Genomic DNA, 18,776 nt, shown 5'->3' on the forward strand with positions numbered 1-18,776 from the left:
CTGGGTCAGAGGCCATGAGCATTTTAAGTGTCTTGATCCCTATCAAAGGTAAATGGCTTTCCAAAAAGTCCTTCTAATCTCTGTTTCTACTGCCAGCATCTCACCTCATACTCTCCAAAAATGAATATTATAATTTAAAATTTGCTATCACTTAATCCTCATGATACAATCATGCAGTGAGTATTCTAATGCAATGACTATTATCCCCAATATGTAGATAAGGAAAGTGGGGCCGGTGGATGATTTCACACGCCCCATTTCACAGAGTTAGTAAGGCGGTCAGAACCAAGGCCTGGTTTGGCTAACTCAAGAGGACATCAGTCTCTCCCTGGGCAGGTGATGAGCCCCACAGAAGGATTTTAAATCTGGAAAGTGACATAAAGTCCAGGATCCCCTTGGCTTGCTCTTCTTAGTGCTGGCTTATCTATTGGTAATGATCTAAAGAACATTAACTACCAGCTGACGCCAGAGAACTCTTTCTTAACACACTGTTGTTCTTCAGAGCATGTATGAACTGAAGACTGGTAATGTGAAGACAGGGGAAAAAAAGAATAGAGGATGTAATGTAGGTTATTAATGCAATAAGTAACACATATATGAATTCATACAAATTAGTTAACAAATACAAGCCACTGCAGGACTTTCTAAACAGCACTGTATAGTTCATCACTGTGGAAGGGGTCATTTCACTAGGAGTAAAGTCAAATTTCTCTTAGCTCAGCCCTGTCCCTGATTCCTCAGCATCTCTTCAGGTTTTGTTCAGACCTGAAGGTCAGAGGTAACAGACTTCCAGGGCCAGGGTCACCTCTTGATTTAACTTGGGCTGTGGCCAGATTAGCCACATTGATCTGCTCTCTTGGAAGCCTGAAGAAGCCAGTAATCTCACTTGGGCACACATGGAGGGAGAGAGTATAAGAAAAAAAACAACAGGCCGGGCGCAGTGGCTCACGCCTATAATCCCAGCACTTTGGGAGGCCGAGGCGGGCAGATCACGAGGTCAGGAAATTGAGACCATCCTGGCTAACATGGTGAAACCCCGTCTCTACTAAAAATACAAAAAATTAGCCGGGCATGGTGGCAGGCGCCTATAGTCCCAGCTACTCGGGAGGCTGAGGCAGGAGAATGGCGTGAACCCAGGAGGCAGAGCTTGCAGTGAGCGGAGATCATGCCACTGCACTCCAGCCTGGGCGACAGAGCAAGACTCCGTCTCAAAAAAAAAAAAAAAAGAAAAAAAGAAAAAGAAACAACAACCAGAACTACCATGTATTGAGGGCTTCCTATATCCCAGGCACTGAAAGAAAGTGAACTTGCTCGGGCATGCTTGGGGCCCAGTAAGCAAGCCAAATTAAATACAGGCGGCCTGGCATGGAATCCGAGACTGTCATCGACAATAAAGAGGTGAAAACTGTTTGCAGAGAGATTTAAATAAACTGTTTCAAAGTACATCCAGTCATGCACAGTCCTTCGCTAACTTCAAGAAGAGCACATTGGTGTTAAGTAAGGGGAAAGCATCAGATTGATAAGTAACTGATAATGATCAGCACTGATGTTTCAGAGGAAATATGTGTTGCAGAGAGGCAGAGAACCATGGTGGCATTTTGCCCAGTGAGATGTGTCATGCCCACTACAGGCCCCTCCTTTAGAGAGGGCACCTTCTGCCATCTTCATCTCTCCCCTTGGTTTTTATTCATTGTTCCTTCCAGTGCAAGAGGATGTCACATTTCATAGATATATGTGAACCACAGAGACCCACCTTCATCCAGGGAACTGCAATTCTTAGGAAGGCACTGGGGCATACTCAAGGCAATGAGAATTTTTTCACAACAGAACTCCTGTGGCAACAGGATGGAACTTAACAAAGGGGACTGCCCTTTCAGAAACAGTCTGTCCTGCAACAGCATGGAGATGACAACAGGGACAGGTTCTACTTAGTGGTGACAGGGATACAGGCATCCTGGCTCCAGAAATTTATAACACTGTCTGTGCTCATGTGTAAACATGGGTGACTTATGTACCTGTATATACTTATATACATACATACATATTTACTGCAATAGACACATATATTTAATAGACTCTCCTTCCCCATGCTGTATAAAGTGCCCATCTTTATAGCTCTTTCCTTACATAATGAAAGGTAATGCTCTGATAATCATTCTCCAGATATAAATTGGAGGGAAGCAGAGAGCAGTAGGGGCAGTTATGTCATGGGATGGGGAGTCTAGAGAGGTGCCCCTAGGTGAGTTGAGATGTATGTAGATATCCACATGTATGCCTACATGCATATTTATATGTGTGTAGATGTGTGCATATGTGTATGGAAAGAAGAAGTGAGAAGGACTGGGGTATGGAAAAGATTGCATGGATAAACAACGTGTTACCCTAGATTCTTAGCATACAACTATTTACAGAGGGCTTAGCAATTTTTAAAGTGTTTTTAGACGAGTTAAAATAAAAATCACTGGACTTACAGCCAATACACTTGGCCTGAGCCGTGATTATGCCATTTTACCAGTTTTGCAGTTGTGCAATCAGTAAGTATGCCACAAATAGCAGAGACAGCCAGTTTCAGCGCATGGACTCCATTTCCCTTGTGTATCCTCTGCCCTTTGGGTTTCCTAGTGTTGCTATGCTGGTCTTCTCTTTTCTGCATCAGGCATTTGGAGGGTCTTGAGTGTTTCATTGGATGTAAAAATAATGCCATTTTCCTTCTAGAAAGAGATGAAGGGTGGGACCAGGCCAGCCTTTTCCATTTGCTGCTGCCTACTTCCTGCTGCCAGCCCCTACCCCGGCAAAAACCCCTATGCTAATTCTCACTCAGCAACCCCTGTGCCCATTCACAGTGAAAACGCTACAGTGCTTCTCTCTTTTCAGTGAACATCCTATGAACACCTGCTTTGTGCTAAGCACTGGGGACCCCCAAAGAGCTCCCAGTCTAGACATAGGAGACACAGATCAATAACAAGCAACCATTGTGTAATATGACAGGTGGGCGATTAATGTTATGTGCAGAGAACAGAGAAGGATTAACCCGGCCTGGGGTGGCCAGGAAAGGTTTCAGAGAACATGACATTTCAGTTGGAAATTACAGGAGGCTTTTTGTTTGCCAAGCGAATGAGGACAAATAAGGCAGAGCCTACAGCATGGGTGAAAGCCCTGAGTCAAGAATATGCAAGACAGGATTAAGGAACAGAGAATATTCTGAAATGCCTGGATCCCTGGGGTTGCTGGATGAGGATGTAATGGTGGGGAGGGGAGGATGGGAAATGGCTGTAAATTAGTTTGGAAAATTGGGCAGGGATGAGGTCTTGGAGGCTTTGAACTGAGCAGTTGAGTGAGTACTCTTCGCCAAGAACTGCATTTAAATCAGTTGAGTATTGTGTACCAGCTGCAGCTAAGACTTGTGGGGTCCCAGGAAAACTGGGTCATTTGGAAGATATCCCCTCTTAGCCATTTCTCTGGAAATGGACAACTCTCAAAGACTTGGGAAACACTAGCTGTGTGGTCAGGGAGGGGCCAGGAGGCCTGGGAGACCTTTGGAAAGGGGTCATGAATGACCTGACATCTTTGTGCTTTTGTCAGTGTGATCACTAAAGGGGAATTAAAGCCTTTTGTAAAAGATGTAATGAGGCTCTCTGAGGTCAGTCGGATGAGCTCACAATTTCAACAATCACCCCCCGGTGGGATTGAGGCCAGATTTCTTCTGCAAACCTCTTGTGTAAGATGGTTCCTTGAAGGATTTCTGAAAATAAATATTTCATAGAAAAAGTGGTTGCACAAAGAGGGAGGATCTGGAATTCAAAGGGCAGGTCCCAGGAAGCCCAACTGCTATCCTAGGCTCAGTGAGGTTGCTCAGGTTGTTAATGTGTGAACCTAACACTGTTAGGCTGTTTTCTGGGCTGACACCCATGAAAGGGATGGGTTCCGTGCTGCAGCTGTTGATGGAGACAAGAGGGATATGCAGCTGCTTAAACTTTTGACACATTGCTAGGGGACTGGAATGGGAGGCCATTCAACTTCCTCTCATGTCTGCTATGCCTTCTGAATTTGACAACTCAAAGGGTCACAGTCAGAAAGAGGCCCCAGCTGTGAAATTATTTCCCAACAGAGAGTCAATGCATTGATATGGCTCAAAGGTCCAAGCCAGGGTACTCCAAAAAGCTTAGAACAAAATGGATGGGTGTTGCTTTGCTGAAGTTTCTGGTGATTGCTAACTATGGCTAAAGACAGAACTCTATTGCCATCAGTAGGAAGAAGTAAACTCATAGATTAGTTTTTTGGCAGTAATTCTATCTTGAGTGTTATTGTTTGTTTAATAAGGGCCCTTGTCACATGGTCACATGTAAATGGTCACAGGTAAAGGATTTGTGGAGTCTGCTTCCTTAATTGAAAAGCATTGTGAAATTCACCTTGACTTATGGAAAAGCAAATGCATTTTCATTTGTTAATGGCCCTAGTCAAGGGTGTAGTATTTGTATAAGCAGAGGTGGTGAAAAGCAGCCTCTCCCAAAGCATGTTTCAGAACCTCAAACCCTGTGAGTCTTGCATGGGAAGAGTTTTATATGGAAGTAAATTCAAGAAATGCCGTGTATTATGTGCCCCTCTTGGAGATTCATAAGGCTCGCTGGCATAGTAAAGCCTCTAGGATATCTTGCACTAAGGAAACTTGGTTAATTTGGTATCATTTAACATTTCCCAAACTTGTCCCTGGATCCATTGTTTGTTTTTTCAATTTTTAACATTTTTTTAAGTCCTGCAGATTCAGAACCACTTTACGAAACCCTGATTTGAAGAATTAAGACATAAATAGGAGGAGGATGTATGGGTTTATCAATTGTCTATTACAACTTAATCTTTAGCCAGAAGATACATATGGAGCCACATATATAAAATAAGTCACAATCTATTAAATTTCTCTTCCTTATCTAGACCCTCTCATTTTCACAGCTTTCTACATCCACCCAAGCAAAACTAAACTGACTACATCTTCATTTTTTTCCTCTGCAACTTATTTATGAATCCATACCTTCACCAGCTATTGTGTTCTGAAGGGTTTCTTCTGTGCACACACAGGATCATATCTCATCTAAACCATAGGTTCCATGCAGAACTCTGTACTCCAATAAACCAGTCCTGATTAGGTGGAAAATAGTATCATATTTTGGCCAAATTCCCTGCTGAGCAATATGCCTCCTTTTATGTGGGGTATAGGTATAGCTCATCTGGGCTTTGTATATCTGTAACTGATATCTGTCTATGGTCTGAATGGGGGTTTGCTGCATGTAGACTAGACCATAAACTCAATAAATAGACCCTTTTCTCTATCCTCGTAATACAAGGAATATTCATTAATGCAACTTTTAAGCATGGAAGCCATCTCCAGACAGCCAATTTCTGTGGTTGAGGCAGGAACAGAATATAAATGCTTGTTCTCTAAAGAACCCTATTCTTATCTTTCTATAAAATGCAGCAACTCTATTTTGGCCAAACATTTTTCTGTCTGTCCCAGGTTAAACACTTCTTCCCAAAAGTAGAAGTAAGTACAGAGAAGAGTACCTTTGTTTGGGAAGAATTCGACCCACTTCTTGCATTTCCTCGCCACCATTTACTTCATTCTGTATCCATTCCAGCCTGGATTCGGCCACCATTACTCTTGAGGACACTAGAAGTTGCCTAATTACCAAAACCAATTGTCATTTTCGCCTGCTTTTTCCACCTCAGAGCCTTCTGGAGAATTCTAGTCTCCTGACTGAGAGGATGCTAAGTTTTCCTGGTTCTCACACCTACTCCTAAAGTCCTCCCTGCTAGTCTCCATCTTCTGTGTGCAACGTTTCCATTCATTTATCTCACCTATCCCCGATGACCTAACGGATGTTGTTTTCAGAAGGAGAGAAGAGTAAATTTTGGTTCCTACCTTGTGGTGTGTCACCTCACTGAAAAGAACATCCCTAAATGTGAAATTTTAAAATAATAGTTTCTGAAAATAATTAAATCCAGAAATGTTTGGGTTATAAGACATAGTTCAAGTATAGGAAGAGAATGAGAGGTCAATATTGGTTATGATCATGGTAGAGGATTCCAAAGAAAAAATGAGATTCTGAGTGGAGATGAAGCATATGTAATGTTCAAAGAGAGCAGCAACGGAATACAAGGAAACTAGGGGATGATTACTTCCTTCTTTTGAAGGAGAGAGGCAGTCAGCTGGACCTGAAAGGGAAAGAAGCATCCACTAGTATAAGCAAACATCCCAGAGGTTCAAGTTAACTGAGGCCGACTCCTGGCTAGGACCTCTGCGGAGCATGCTTCCCTCCACGAGTTCTTAGAAGCCTGTGCATGAGGTGTTGCGCGGAATAGGAAGATGCCACCCTCTCTATCAAACTACTGCCCAATTTTCAAAAACAGGACCTGAGAAAGAGCTGGCATTCAGAATGGCTCTCAGATTACACTACTTTCTATGTAAATTGATTTGTGCAGATTTGGTTTTGTAAGGGAAAACAATTGGCCAATTTTTTTATAGCTCTCTACTTCTGCCCACAGACTTGTTCACTTTTCCCTTTTACATGTAAATGGAAAAATGGAAATGAGATTTCTGTGATGCATGGAATCTCTATTTTTAGAAAAGATAAACAGGGTCCCCTGGTCAGAGACTCCAAAGGAAAATATGGTTCCCAAAGGATGGAAGATTAAAAATAAAATGTAGATAGGTACGTAAGTAAATTAATAAGACAACAAGCAAAAACCTGTAAATTCAATCCACTTTACTGTGCTGAGGAATGCCACTGAAAGAAAATGAGAACCAGGGTAAGAAGGGAAATATGCATTTATAAATTTATATAAATATATGTAATTATGTATTTTATACTATATAATGTACCTTACACAGAATGAATATTTTTTTAAACAGAAGCTACTTCTTTTCCCATTATCTTCATCATCATCATCCTTTAGAATAAGTAGGTACAGAGTAGAGGACCAGGCTTCTTCCTTAGGCCCCAAGAATAATGTTAACAATGTCAAAGGGAAACAAGAGCTGTTTCCTCTTGTATTCTGTCTTTTCCTGGATGGAAATTGCTCTTCACATGAGAAAGGGTGTAAACAACAGCGAAAAGAGGCCTCTGCAGCCCTGGCTAGGTGAGAAGATGAAGGACCCAGGCATTTAAGATGAAGTTGGGCTTCCCACCAACACTCATTGTGTGCAGGTTGAGCCCAGCACCCCAGGGAACGATGCCTCTTTAGTGTGGATGAATATGTTCTCAGAGGCATCTTGTTTCTGAGCTCCTGTAACCTTCTGTGCATTCATGTGACTCTCCTCACTGAATAGAGGCTCCTTGAGAGCAGAAATTGTGTCTTATTCACTGACCCACCTCACAGCACAACATCTGGCCCAGGATAGACACACAGTACAAATGTGCCAATTGATTGAAAAACTGTAAGACTAAAGATGGACAAATGTCCATGTTTTCAAAATGGAAGGTGGGTATAATTTGGAAACCACATCTAAGCTTGATGGCAGTTCCTTAAAAAAAAATCTGTTGAACAGACAGACTTGAATAGCTGATCTTAATACTCTGAAATTCACCTAAAAATGGTCAGAAAATTGGAACTGACCTTCAGTAAAAACCACTAGTATGAAAAAAGGTTTAAAAAGTGAATCTAATTGTGGAATGTCTTAGTAGAAAGGTAGGGTTCTGAGCATAATCCTCTTATGTTTTGCTGGTCAGACTACATCATGTTCCATTCTTAGGTGCTTATTTTAAGAAAGGCCTTCATAAACTAGAACATACCCAAGGGAGGGTGACCAGGACCAGTAATATAGGGTTCCAATCCAAAGAGGACAATTGAGAAAGAGATGGCATGATTTAACCTGAAGAAGAACAGGTAGAGGCAGACAAGTGGTGGCAACAGTGCCATCTTCAAAACTTGGAAAATAGGGTTAGAACTTTTCTGTACTACTCACAATGCAGAACTGCGACCAGTGGGTAGAAGTAGTAAGGGGCCTGAATTCAATCCACTGTGAGGAAGCATTTCCTAGAAAATAGAATTGCACCCAGACGCAAAGAGCTCTCTTCACTGGAAATGTTCTAGCAATGGCTGGATGGAAAGCTGTAGATGAGATTCCTGCATTGGGCAAGAGGCTTGGATTGGACTGGGTGGTCTTCATCTCCAAGCATCTGTGACTGTTTCACTTCATTCATCATGAATAGGATTAACTCTCTACGAGAAAGCTTTCTCGATTAGGGCCACTGTGCAGCAAATCTCCTCGAAAGCTTCATTTACACTGTTTTCTAGATCAACTGCTCACAGTAACCCATGCCTGTAATAGGGGCTCAGAAGGGTTTAGCCATTAGTTTAAAGGGACTTCCAACCTGTTACCAGGGAGTGGCCAATCTAGAATTACTTCTAATTATTAGAAGATAATTTATAAATTAGAGAATTGATTCATATTGCATCATGTGATATCATGGCAAATGTCCTCAGAAGCTTAGAGTGATAAACCAACTAACATAAACTCCAATCTGAGATTTCTTACCCTCCTCAAATTTCCTATCCTCCAGTTGATGTTAGAACATTTAATAGTAATTTTCTAGTTTTGCAATAAAATCAGATACAAGCCAGAAACGAATTAATGGAAGTATGTGAAATTAAACTAAAATGATTTTTTAAATATTTTAATTTTTAAATGATTTTAGTTTAAATTTTTTTAATTAATATCATCATTTGATTTAACTTCTGTTTTTGTCAGTCATTTCTCATTGCCTTCTCTTTTTCTTCTTCTCCCTTTCTTTCCCTTCATCTCAGTTTCCTCTAAGGATTTCAATTTTTTAAACTTTCCCAGGACTCAATTAACCTCACTTAAACAATTTTTTGGTGGGACCAGTGAAGTCTTGGAGCTGCTGCCTTTCATACTCAGCCGAACCCTGGAAACCAAATCCGTAGCCAAACATTTGGCTTTGGTTTAGAGGCAGAAGTCAGAAAGGGGAATTGATATGCAGGTGTGGTGCAAAGCTGGTCTTAAAAATACAGATGTTATTACCTCTGGGCCCTAGGGGCCTGGAACAAAATGCAGTGAGCCACCCCCGGAGGTGAAACGATGGTCATAAAATGGTTTCTCCATTCGTGAATTTTGCTGAGCTGCCTCTGCAACATTTAGTGACTATTTAATAACACTAACAGCTCTTTGAGCTAAATTACTAACATTTGGGGGAGCAAGGTTATGTAAAACAAAATTGAATTATGAAAACAATTTTCCAGTTAGCTCCAGCGTTTCTTGATTTCTGTTTATCTTTTTTCTCAAAGGGGCCATTTACCAATTCCCCCCTGGCTGGCATGAGCTGATGTCCAAAGACTCCAAACAATCAGCACACACCTCTGAACAACAAGGGTCCGTATTTTTCCATCTCTGTTCCTAGCCCAAAGCTTGGAAACACTTTCAGTCATGGAAAGATCTAAAACCAAGAAATATCCAAAGTGGTCTTCTGAAGAAAAGTATGATGCTCTTTGAACCCTGGTTAAGTTTTCATAAAAATTCTCTGTTAACCTAATGCTGTTGGAGGTCACCTTGTTTAGATACAGAAACTGCATGAATTGACAAGCAAAAGTTAAAGACAGAGGCACTTTCTAGTAAAATTGAAAATGCACACTCCATAAAAGTAAGCAATCCCACTTCCAGGTATACACTTTAGGGCACCTCTCCCACATGCGCACACTTTAACAGCAGTTAAAACGACTAAACTATACGCATATGTGTCGACGTGGATAGATCTCAAAAACAACAGAGCGCAGAAAGCAAGCTACTAAAGTTATGTTACCAATATGCAAATTGCTAAAGACAACACAAAATATAAAATATAAAAGCAGGGATATACCCCGGCATCACAGGCTGCCTCTTGGGAGGGGGTGGAAATGGGGATGGTGCAACAAAAGGTTCTTCAACATTATTTTATTATTAAGAGACAGGGTCTCACTCTGTCACCCAGGCTGGAGTGCAGTGGCACAATCACGGCTTATTGCAGCCTCAGCCTCCTGGGCTCAGGTGATCCTCCAACCGCAGCCTCCTGAGTAGCTGGGACCACAGGTGCGTGTCACCACACCAGGCTGACTTTTAAAAAAATTATTTGTAGAGACAGGGTCTCGCCATGTTGCCCAGGCTGGTCTTGAACTCCTGGACCTAAGCGATCCGCCTGCCTCAGCCTCTCAAAGTGCTGGGATTACAGACATAAGCCACCGTGCACAGCCTCTTCAACATTATTAATAATGTTTTGTTTTCTCAAAAAGGAAGGTACTTTAAACAAAAGTAACAAAAACTTAATTTGGTGGATACTTGAATATTCTTTTTTTTTTCTTTTTTTTTGAGTTTCGCTCTTGTTGCCCAGGCTGGAGTGCAGTGGCACAATCTTGGCTCACTGCAACCTCTGCCTCCTGGGTTCAAGCAATTCTTCTGCCTCAACTTCCTCAGTAGCTAGGATTACAGGTGCCCACCACCACGCCCGGCTAATTTTTGTATTTTTTTAGTGGAGATGGGGTTTCACCATGTTGGCCAGGCTGGTCTTGAACTCCTGACCTCAGATGATCCACCTACCTCAGCCTCCCAAAGTGCTGGGATTACAGGAATGAGCCACCGCGCCTGGTCTTGGATATTATTTTCTATATCTTTCTGCATCTTTACATATCTTACAGATTTTTAAAGAGCCAAACCAGGATTTAAATTAAAAAGATGAAAGCATTGTCAAACACCCAGAAAGGTTTCTCTGCGGACCCAGGAGAGCCAGGATAGTTAGCATCTGGAAAACAAGGCAGGCCCCAGTGTTCGGAAGGGGCAGAGGCACCGGGAGAGTTACGTTTGAGCAAATTTGTTATTTTCTCATTCAGTAGCCTGCTCCTAAGATTCCATAAATCCTTGCTGGATGACTTATGTCCTGGTCCCATTCTACTTGCCTGAAACAAAGTTTTACCCCCAGTTGGTGATAATATACATTGAAATTTCTGTTGCTCCTATCTATTCTGTTTCTTTGTGGCTCAAGTTTTCTCTTCTCTCCGTGCATTATATTCAAACATGTAACTCCAAACAGAACATACAAGCATAGGGCACAGCACGCTGTCTGTTTCAGATAGAACTTTATTTGGTAGGTGGAAATAAATGCATACACATGGAGGGAGGTCTGTCTGACAGTAACAGTTCATTTTTCCAACTAATTCAACTGATACCTGATTGGTGATCCTGACCAAGGTTTGACGTTGTTTAACTATTTCTTAATATTTCTTCTGTTCAGCTAGTATATATTCGACATATTCTCCATCAAGTGTGACCAGCCTAGAAGACTAGAGTTACATATAGCTCTTTAGAAATTCAGGTGTAGTCCTAGAAGTCAGTGAGAAGAAAAATATAGGATGTTCTGCAAGTTGTAATGATGTGTGGTTTAAAGGCCTTTGAGAGTCCTAAGAAGGAGGCATAGAGGAAACAGCCCAGCATTTGAAGCAGACAAACTGGGCTTCAGAGCCTAGCTCAGCCACTTTAGTACCTGTGAGGCTTTGGGAAAGTTACCTAACATTTCTGATATTCTGTTTTCTCATCCAAAAAATTGAGTTGTTAAGAATGAAGTGAGCTAACTAATGAAAAATGCTTAATATGGTGTCTAACATATTATTGGTATTTAAAAACATAGTTGTCTGGCTGGGTGTGGGGGCTCATGCCTGTAATCCCAGAGTTTCAAGGGGACAAGGTGAGAGGATTGCTTGAGACTAGGAGTTAGAGATCAGCTTGGGGAACATAGCAAAACTCTGTTTTTACAAAAAAAAATAATAATAATAACAAAATTCGCCGGGCATGGTGGTGCATGCCCGGAGTCCCAGCTACTCAGGAGACTGAGACAGGAGGATCACTTGAGCCCAGGAATTCAAGGCCAACTTTTTGTCTGATGATATGTCATTAGCAGGGCACCAAGAGTAGCTCATTATTCTTGCTGATTAACTCAGCTGAAGCAACCTTATTAATGATAGTGGTGACAAATAACATAATTAGATCTATGTACTCTGTGTATAACCTTGCACAAGGCTTGAGAAATGAAGCCTCAGAGTGGATAGATTCAACCTGCACATATCTGATGCCATCCTTCCAACTTTGCCCACCCCTCCAACATAGACTTATTGCTCTGGTGACCACTCTTAGTAGTGGAGACATGTCTTAACTCTCAGGTGGGGTAGAGGGTTAAAAAGGCTAATAAGCAGCAGGGTCAGTTTCTGGCTGGGAGTCCAACCTATGTTATGGTCTCCTTTCTGGCTGCCTCCTATTGTGTTATTTTGGGCAGATAATTTCTTTGGCTGTAAATTTATTGATCTTTAAAATAGGATGGTAGGACGTTGGACAAGATGATTTCTGGGGTCCTTTGCCCCATATTCTATGTTCATGATTTCTTTTCCTTTGTAAGTATAATTATACACCCAAAGTACCATGGATTATCAATTCTAAAATGCACAATTGTTTCACATCTTAACATCTAAGAACCCAGGATATAACTTACAATTAATGGTAATTTAGATTGCTGTGAAATACAATATATAATTAAATGTGTGAGAGGTACTAATAAAAATACTACTTAATTACGAGTTTCTACAGGAAAAATTGAAAATTGCTGTCAAGATATTGACTGAAAACAAGCGTACATTTTTTGTAAGTTCAATGGAGATCATTAACATGGAAAAGAACCCATGAGTTGCTAGGACAGTTGTCCCAGATGAGGGATTGATTTGGGTGTTCCTAAAGGTCCCTTTCAACCCTGAGATGCTATGAAACACTAACTTTATTCCAGTTATTTGTTGTTTTGCACACTCATTCAGTAACTGAAGAGCATTTTGGAGAAAAAAAAAGGTAGTTTACGGGGATGACATAGTAATATTGTACCTATTAAATAATCATGTGTACATTTCCATTGGAGTGTTAAGTTATTGATATTCTGATTAACTGTTACTATAGCTATCATTCAATAATATTTTCAAAAATTAATAGCTATGTTTGGACACTAAAACTGTGGTGAAAATAATTTCATATTCATTGATGGCTGAAAACGCCTTTTAGATTCTTGTAGAAGTTCAAGTCATTTGCTATGAACACAGTGCCATATAACAAAAATATTCACTTGTGCTCTAGATAAATGGAACTTCCATGTTAAGTCTCAGTAATAGAGGAGATATTATTTTATTACAATTGCTAATGATTTGTTGTTGTTGAGTTTATAGGTAGAAAAAGAAGCCATTAGTTACTTTTGGGTAACTTGTTGCTTGATTTATCAAGACTTCTTTGTAATCATGATATATTATCTATCATTAATCTTACTTGGCTGTTAGCATGACTGAGAATCGAAGTGATTTTGAACCTGTCTCAGGAATGAGGCCCAGAGGTGTGGTTCAGGTGATCTTGGAGGAGCTGTTTAGAAAGCAATTCCCGATGCCAAAAGTTGGGATCAGTTATCCAAAGGGCTGTATTTGAAGGCTGGGTTTGATTTCTGGGTTTCCCTAATTTACAATAGAAATCTCGATTTATCACATGTGCCATGAATTTGTTACTCTGAAGGAATTAATCAAAATGTTCTTTCTATAAACATTTTTATTGATTCATCATTTCTGAAATCATGCAATTTATGAGTTGGTCCTATTTTGGGTAATAGCAATTACTTATGAAAGCTGCTAGAGAGTTTCTGTCAAGTTTAATTAAACCTTTTCTACTGGAGACTTTTTCAAGAGTTTGTGAACTGTTGACTGTTGATACCATGTCCCAAATATTACTCATAAACTGGAATTTTTACCAGCAAAAATAACTCAGAGGCATCAGTCTCCCAAATCTGGAAGCCAGTTGACTCCTTTTTGACAAATTCCGTATGTCTCTTTACTTCATTGCAACTTAGCATTTGGCCTTGTGTATTATTTACACGTGTGATTCACTTTTCTCTAACATGTTCTAAATACTTTTTTCAAGATGTTCAATCTACTTTTTATTACCCTCTTTTTGTAAATTTTAATGATGTGAAAAGCAGCTAAGGACCAATGGAGAAGCTCAGAATAGCAATTTTTGTAGGAAGTCCTGATGAAGAGTTTATCAAGGGAGATTTTTAAGTCAGTTATGAAGCCTGAGGGAAAGCTAGAAGTTTAGGGAGACCTTTGATCATACAGTATTGGAAATGCAGGATACTGTTAGGGTAAGTGAAGGCTCAGGATAGGCAGAGGTAGCTATGGACCTAGATTGAGGGGAGATTTGTTCAATGGGATCTACATTGAGCTGGGCAGGATTTGGATTGATAAAGAAAATAAGAGCAAGCCAGAGTGAGCCATGTTCCAAGGACAAGGAAGAGGAGTCTTTTCTGTTGCAGTGCTGGTTGGATGGCTCCAGCAGTGCCAGTTGATGGAGGTCTCGGTAATCAGGAGTCCCTGAAAAATATTGAGCAGAGGAAAATGTAATAAAAGCCATATTTTAAGAAAATTAATTTGGTGCCACTGGAAAGAATTGGAGGGAAGGGGTAATGAAGAGGAAAACTGAGTGTTAGGAACACCAATTTCTATTATAATAATCAAGGAGCAAAGTGATGATTAAGACAATAACTAAGGTTACCAGAGTGGTGCCAGTGTTATGCCATTAATGACAACAACTACCATTTATTGAATGTTTATGTGCCAGGCATTGTGCGAAATGCTTTACATAGATTATACTCTTTAATCATCACAATAGCCTTATGAAAGAAGTACTTTAATCCCGTCTTACAGAAGAGAAAACTGAGATTTAGCAACATAAAAGTATTTCCCGTAAGTAAACAGTAGAGCCAAGATCTTGACCTACGCCATCTGATACCTGAGCCCATGCTATAAAAGAGGAGCATTAGAAATATTTGAAAGATAGAAATGAGAACTAGTCAATATTTATTTTGCTTAGCACTGTATTCAGTATTATGGCATCTTAAAGTAGTTAAGACTCAATATTTCATCAAAAAAGTTTAAAATCTAATCAGAGAATCGGCCGGAAGCAGTGGCTCACGCCTGTAATCCCAGCACTTGAGAGGCCGAGGTGGGCGGGATCACCTGAGGTCAGGAGCTCAAAATCAGCCTGGCCAACGTGGTGACACCCCATCTCTACTAAAAATACAAAAATTAGCCAGGCATGGTGGCGGGCACCTGTAATCCCACCTACCTAGGAGGCTGAGGCAGGACAGTCACTTGAACCTGGGAGGTGGAGGTTGCAGTGAGCCGAGATGGCGCCATTGCCCTCCAGCTTGGATGCCAAGAGCAAAACTCCCTCTCAAGAAAAAAAAAAAAAAAAATCTAATCAGATAATCAAGTCTTACAACAGTGAATTAATTCATGAACCAGACAGATGTCATGGATTGGCTTCCCTGGGAAACAGACTTTGAGATTTGTCTGCAGGAGGTCTACTAGGGAGAGTGATCGAGAACAACACGTGAAGGGTAAGGGCTGCAAGAATGATCAGGTCCAACAGATAACTTAACATATCCTACAGGGAGTTCTGGAGCCACAATGACCTTTCAGAGTTGTCCCAATAGAAGCAATGGGACAGGGCCTTTATGCCCCTCCATCACCCAATCAGTGGATACCAGCTGCCCCCAGTGAGAACACTTGAGCAAAGCAGTCCTATGTGGGGGATTCAGCTCTGAGTCTCCAGCCTCAGTCCTGAAAGGAATCCGGACTGCATACCACAGCATCCACAACAACAAAATAGATGAACATGTTATATATTTGAATTATTTAATCTTCAATTTGTAAACACTTTAAATCACATTTTTGGGGAATACTTTCCTGTAAAAGTAGTTTTTGGTGGGGAGGAAATGTCCAATAAATCTGCCAGTATATTTCTTTGCCATGGAGTGACAGCCTTAGTTCTTGATGAAAGTAATCAATATGGAAGGCATTTTGTGTGTGGCTTAATTGAAACCCTGTGTTTTGGACTCATTTGGTGTTAATGTGTAAATCCAATCCTGTTTTCACACCTGCCCTCTTTTTTTTATGATGCCTTGTTCAAGTGGAAGTCTAGTCTGGCTTTTTGCTTCAGTCTAAAGAAGGCCATGGACTGTTGTCATTGGCCAGGAATCCAACTCATATGGTGGCATGAAGTCATCCTTCAAGCCCAGCAAAAAGACCCTGTCAGCCTTGCCTGCAGAGAAAGCCATGTGAAAGATGTCCTGTGCTAGGATCATCTGGTGAGCAATCCATTATACTGTCATTGATCTTGACAGATATTGGGCATACATGTACACCTGGACTTCACCTCCTAAAGAATCTGATTCCTGGTGGCTGGGATGGGATCCAGGCATACTTATTTTTTTCTAGTGGGCCAGTGAAGAGCTTGTTTTGTTGTTGTTTTGTTTGTTTGTTTGTTTGTTTGTTTGAGATGGAGTCTTGCTCTGTTTCCCAGGCTGGAGTACAGTGGTGCCATCTTAGCTCACTGCACCCTTTGCCTCCAGGTTCAAGTGATTCTCCTGCCTCAGCCTCCCAAGTAGCCAGGACTGCAGATATGCACTACCACCCCCCGGCTAATTTTTGTATTTTTAGTAGAGATGGGGTTTCACCATGTTGGCCTGGCTAGTCTTGAACTCCTGACCTCAGGTGATCCACCCGCCTTGGCCTCCCAAAGTGCTGGGATTACAGGTGTGAGCCACCAGCCACAGCCTGGGCCAGTGAAGACCTTTGATAAATCCATCTATTCTACAGGGTTCTTGGAGATGAGATTGCCTGTTGAGTATATTGGGGGCTCTTCAAGAGACTAAATCTCAAAGAAAGAGCTTCTTGAGGAACTGAGGAGTACCATGTAGAAATGAGAAAGAAGGTGAGGAGAAGTTTGAAAAATTCTGCACTCAAATAAAAGAGAAAAACAGGAGGACAAAGGACAGAGTTGGGTACTAGAGACTATGATAAATCTCTAAGATTCTTAGGTCTTCTTGGTTACTGTCATTCCCATATCCATTACTCTTAGATGAAAGTGGTCCTTGTGTTTATCTTGACAAATAGCAAATAAGTGGGACCATGCAAACAAGCATTGGTCTCTTTTATTCATTCATGCAATAAGTATTAATTAGCAGTAACTATATTCCAAGCACTGTGCTCAATGCTAGGAGTGCAGGATGAGGAAAATTTAGTCTGCTCAGGGAGCTCACAATTCCAGGGTGGAGGGGGTGGAGACTAAGAGGTGATAGATTGCTAAGGTAGAGAGGGGCACAGCAGCTGGGATAGCACAGACTGGCAGTCCATAATCCTGTTTAGAGAGTCACGGAAGACTTCCTGGAGGACTCTGCAGGATTAGAAATGGGTAAATCAAATATGGTTTTGTCATTCAAAATTGTGGCACATCTCTCCAGTTATTTAGATCTTCTTTTACGTCCTTTTAGAGGATTTTTATACATTTTTCTACAAAGATCTTATACAGTGTTTGTGAGCTTAATTTCTAAGTAATTCATAATGTTTGGTGCTATTGTGAAGAGTATGTTATTTTGCATTCTTTTTGTGGTTGGTTATTGTTGGTTATAGAGACGTACAATTTATGGTATCTTGTAACTTGCAATCTTTTGGTACTCTCTAATTCTCAGAGTTGTTGGATTTTATTCGGTTTTCTAAGTAAGAAAAACAACATCTGCAAACAATGGCAACCTTTTCTCATGTTTTCCAGCACTAATACTTCTTATTTCCTTCCTGTGTGTTATTGCACTTATATCTTATTGAACAACATGGTGACTGTGGGCATCTTTGTCTTCTTCCAGACCCTCAGTGGAATGTGTATTAAATTTTCTCTTTTGAGAGTGGTGGTTTCTGTGGAGGTAGGTTCTGGTAGAAACCATTTTCAGATTCATAATGTGCCCTTCTGTGTCTAAGTTTTTCTAAGAATTTTTACACTAAATATGCATTGAACTTTAACAGATTTTTAAAGCATCAAAAGATGCTTTATTTAAATTGCATCTTTTGAGATTCCCATATGATTTTTCTTCTGTAGTACCAATGATGGAATGAATTACATTTAGAGATTTTATCCGATTTTGTACTATCCTTACCTTCTGTGATAAAAATCATCTGATTATAACGCATTACCACATTAACATACCACTGGATTTCATTATCTAGTGTTTTACTCAAGATCATGACATTTCAAAATAGGTAGCATTGACGTGTTATTTTCTCTGCTTTCACTGTTCTTATCTAGCTCTGGAATCAAGGACATACTATGTCATTAAATGAGATGGGCAGCTTTCCTTCTTTTTCTGTACTCAGAAACAACTTGTAAAGTGGGAATTATCTGCTCCTTGAATGTTTGATAGAACTTACCCATAAAACTGTCTACGTCTAATATTTGAGGAAGGGAGGTAGGACATAGGAAGATTCTCTGTTATATGAATTTAGTCCATGGAGATTTGTCTGTATACATTTTCTGTTTCTTTTGTGTTGGTTTTGACACTCTTTTTTTTTAGGTGTTCATGGAAGAAAAGGAACATGTCCTGAGGTTACAGAAAGGGAAAGGAGAGCTATCCCATTGCTGGGCAGAGGACTGTCAGAATAGATGTCTGTGTGAAGGGGAGTTAAATGTTCCTTCTCTGATCAGTGTGTTCTATTCATCCATCCTAAGGAGGGAACCTCAAGAGGAAGATGTTCAGCTCATATGGGTTTGTGTAGTATGTCACCTCTCCGACATCTTCATCTGTGACAGGGCCAGTAGGGCTGAATCATGGCATTGGCTTTTGATCAGTGACTTGAGCCCCAGGCATCAAAGGGCCAGTGCTACTGAAATGACTTTC

General features: G+C 40.7%; 1 protein-coding gene across 10 annotated transcripts in view, besides 1 other annotated feature; it reads left to right on the top strand.

The window, feature by feature from the left end:
- Window positions 1-18,776, top strand: part of THSD4 (thrombospondin type 1 domain containing 4) — a 686,490-nt gene that overhangs the window by 511,748 nt on the left and 155,966 nt on the right. Inside the window, exon 1 of one of the 10 annotated variants that reach the window (XM_011522043.4) lies at window positions 16,648-18,644. The exons of the other annotated variants lie outside the window; for them this stretch is intronic. Within the exon in view, the coding sequence (XP_011520345.1) occupies window positions 18,459-18,644 (186 nt within the window). The 5' untranslated portion in view covers window positions 16,648-18,458. Of the gene's footprint in view, window positions 1-16,647; window positions 18,645-18,776 lie in introns of those variants that run through there. 10 annotated transcript variants of the gene reach the window in all.
- Window positions 1,409-1,703: a silencer, noted in NCBI's record as "tiled region #14876; HepG2 Repressive non-DNase unmatched - State 3:PromF". NCBI's record gives its function as "represses a minimal TATA promoter and a strong SV40 promoter by Sharpr-MPRA in HepG2 cells {active_cell/tissue: HepG2}" and the evidence as "EXISTENCE:reporter gene assay evidence [ECO:0000049][PMID:27701403]".

Source organism: Homo sapiens, chromosome 15 (genome assembly GCF_000001405.40).
Source record: "Homo sapiens chromosome 15, GRCh38.p14 Primary Assembly".
In the NCBI taxonomy this organism is placed as follows: domain Eukaryota; kingdom Metazoa; phylum Chordata; class Mammalia; order Primates; family Hominidae; genus Homo; species Homo sapiens.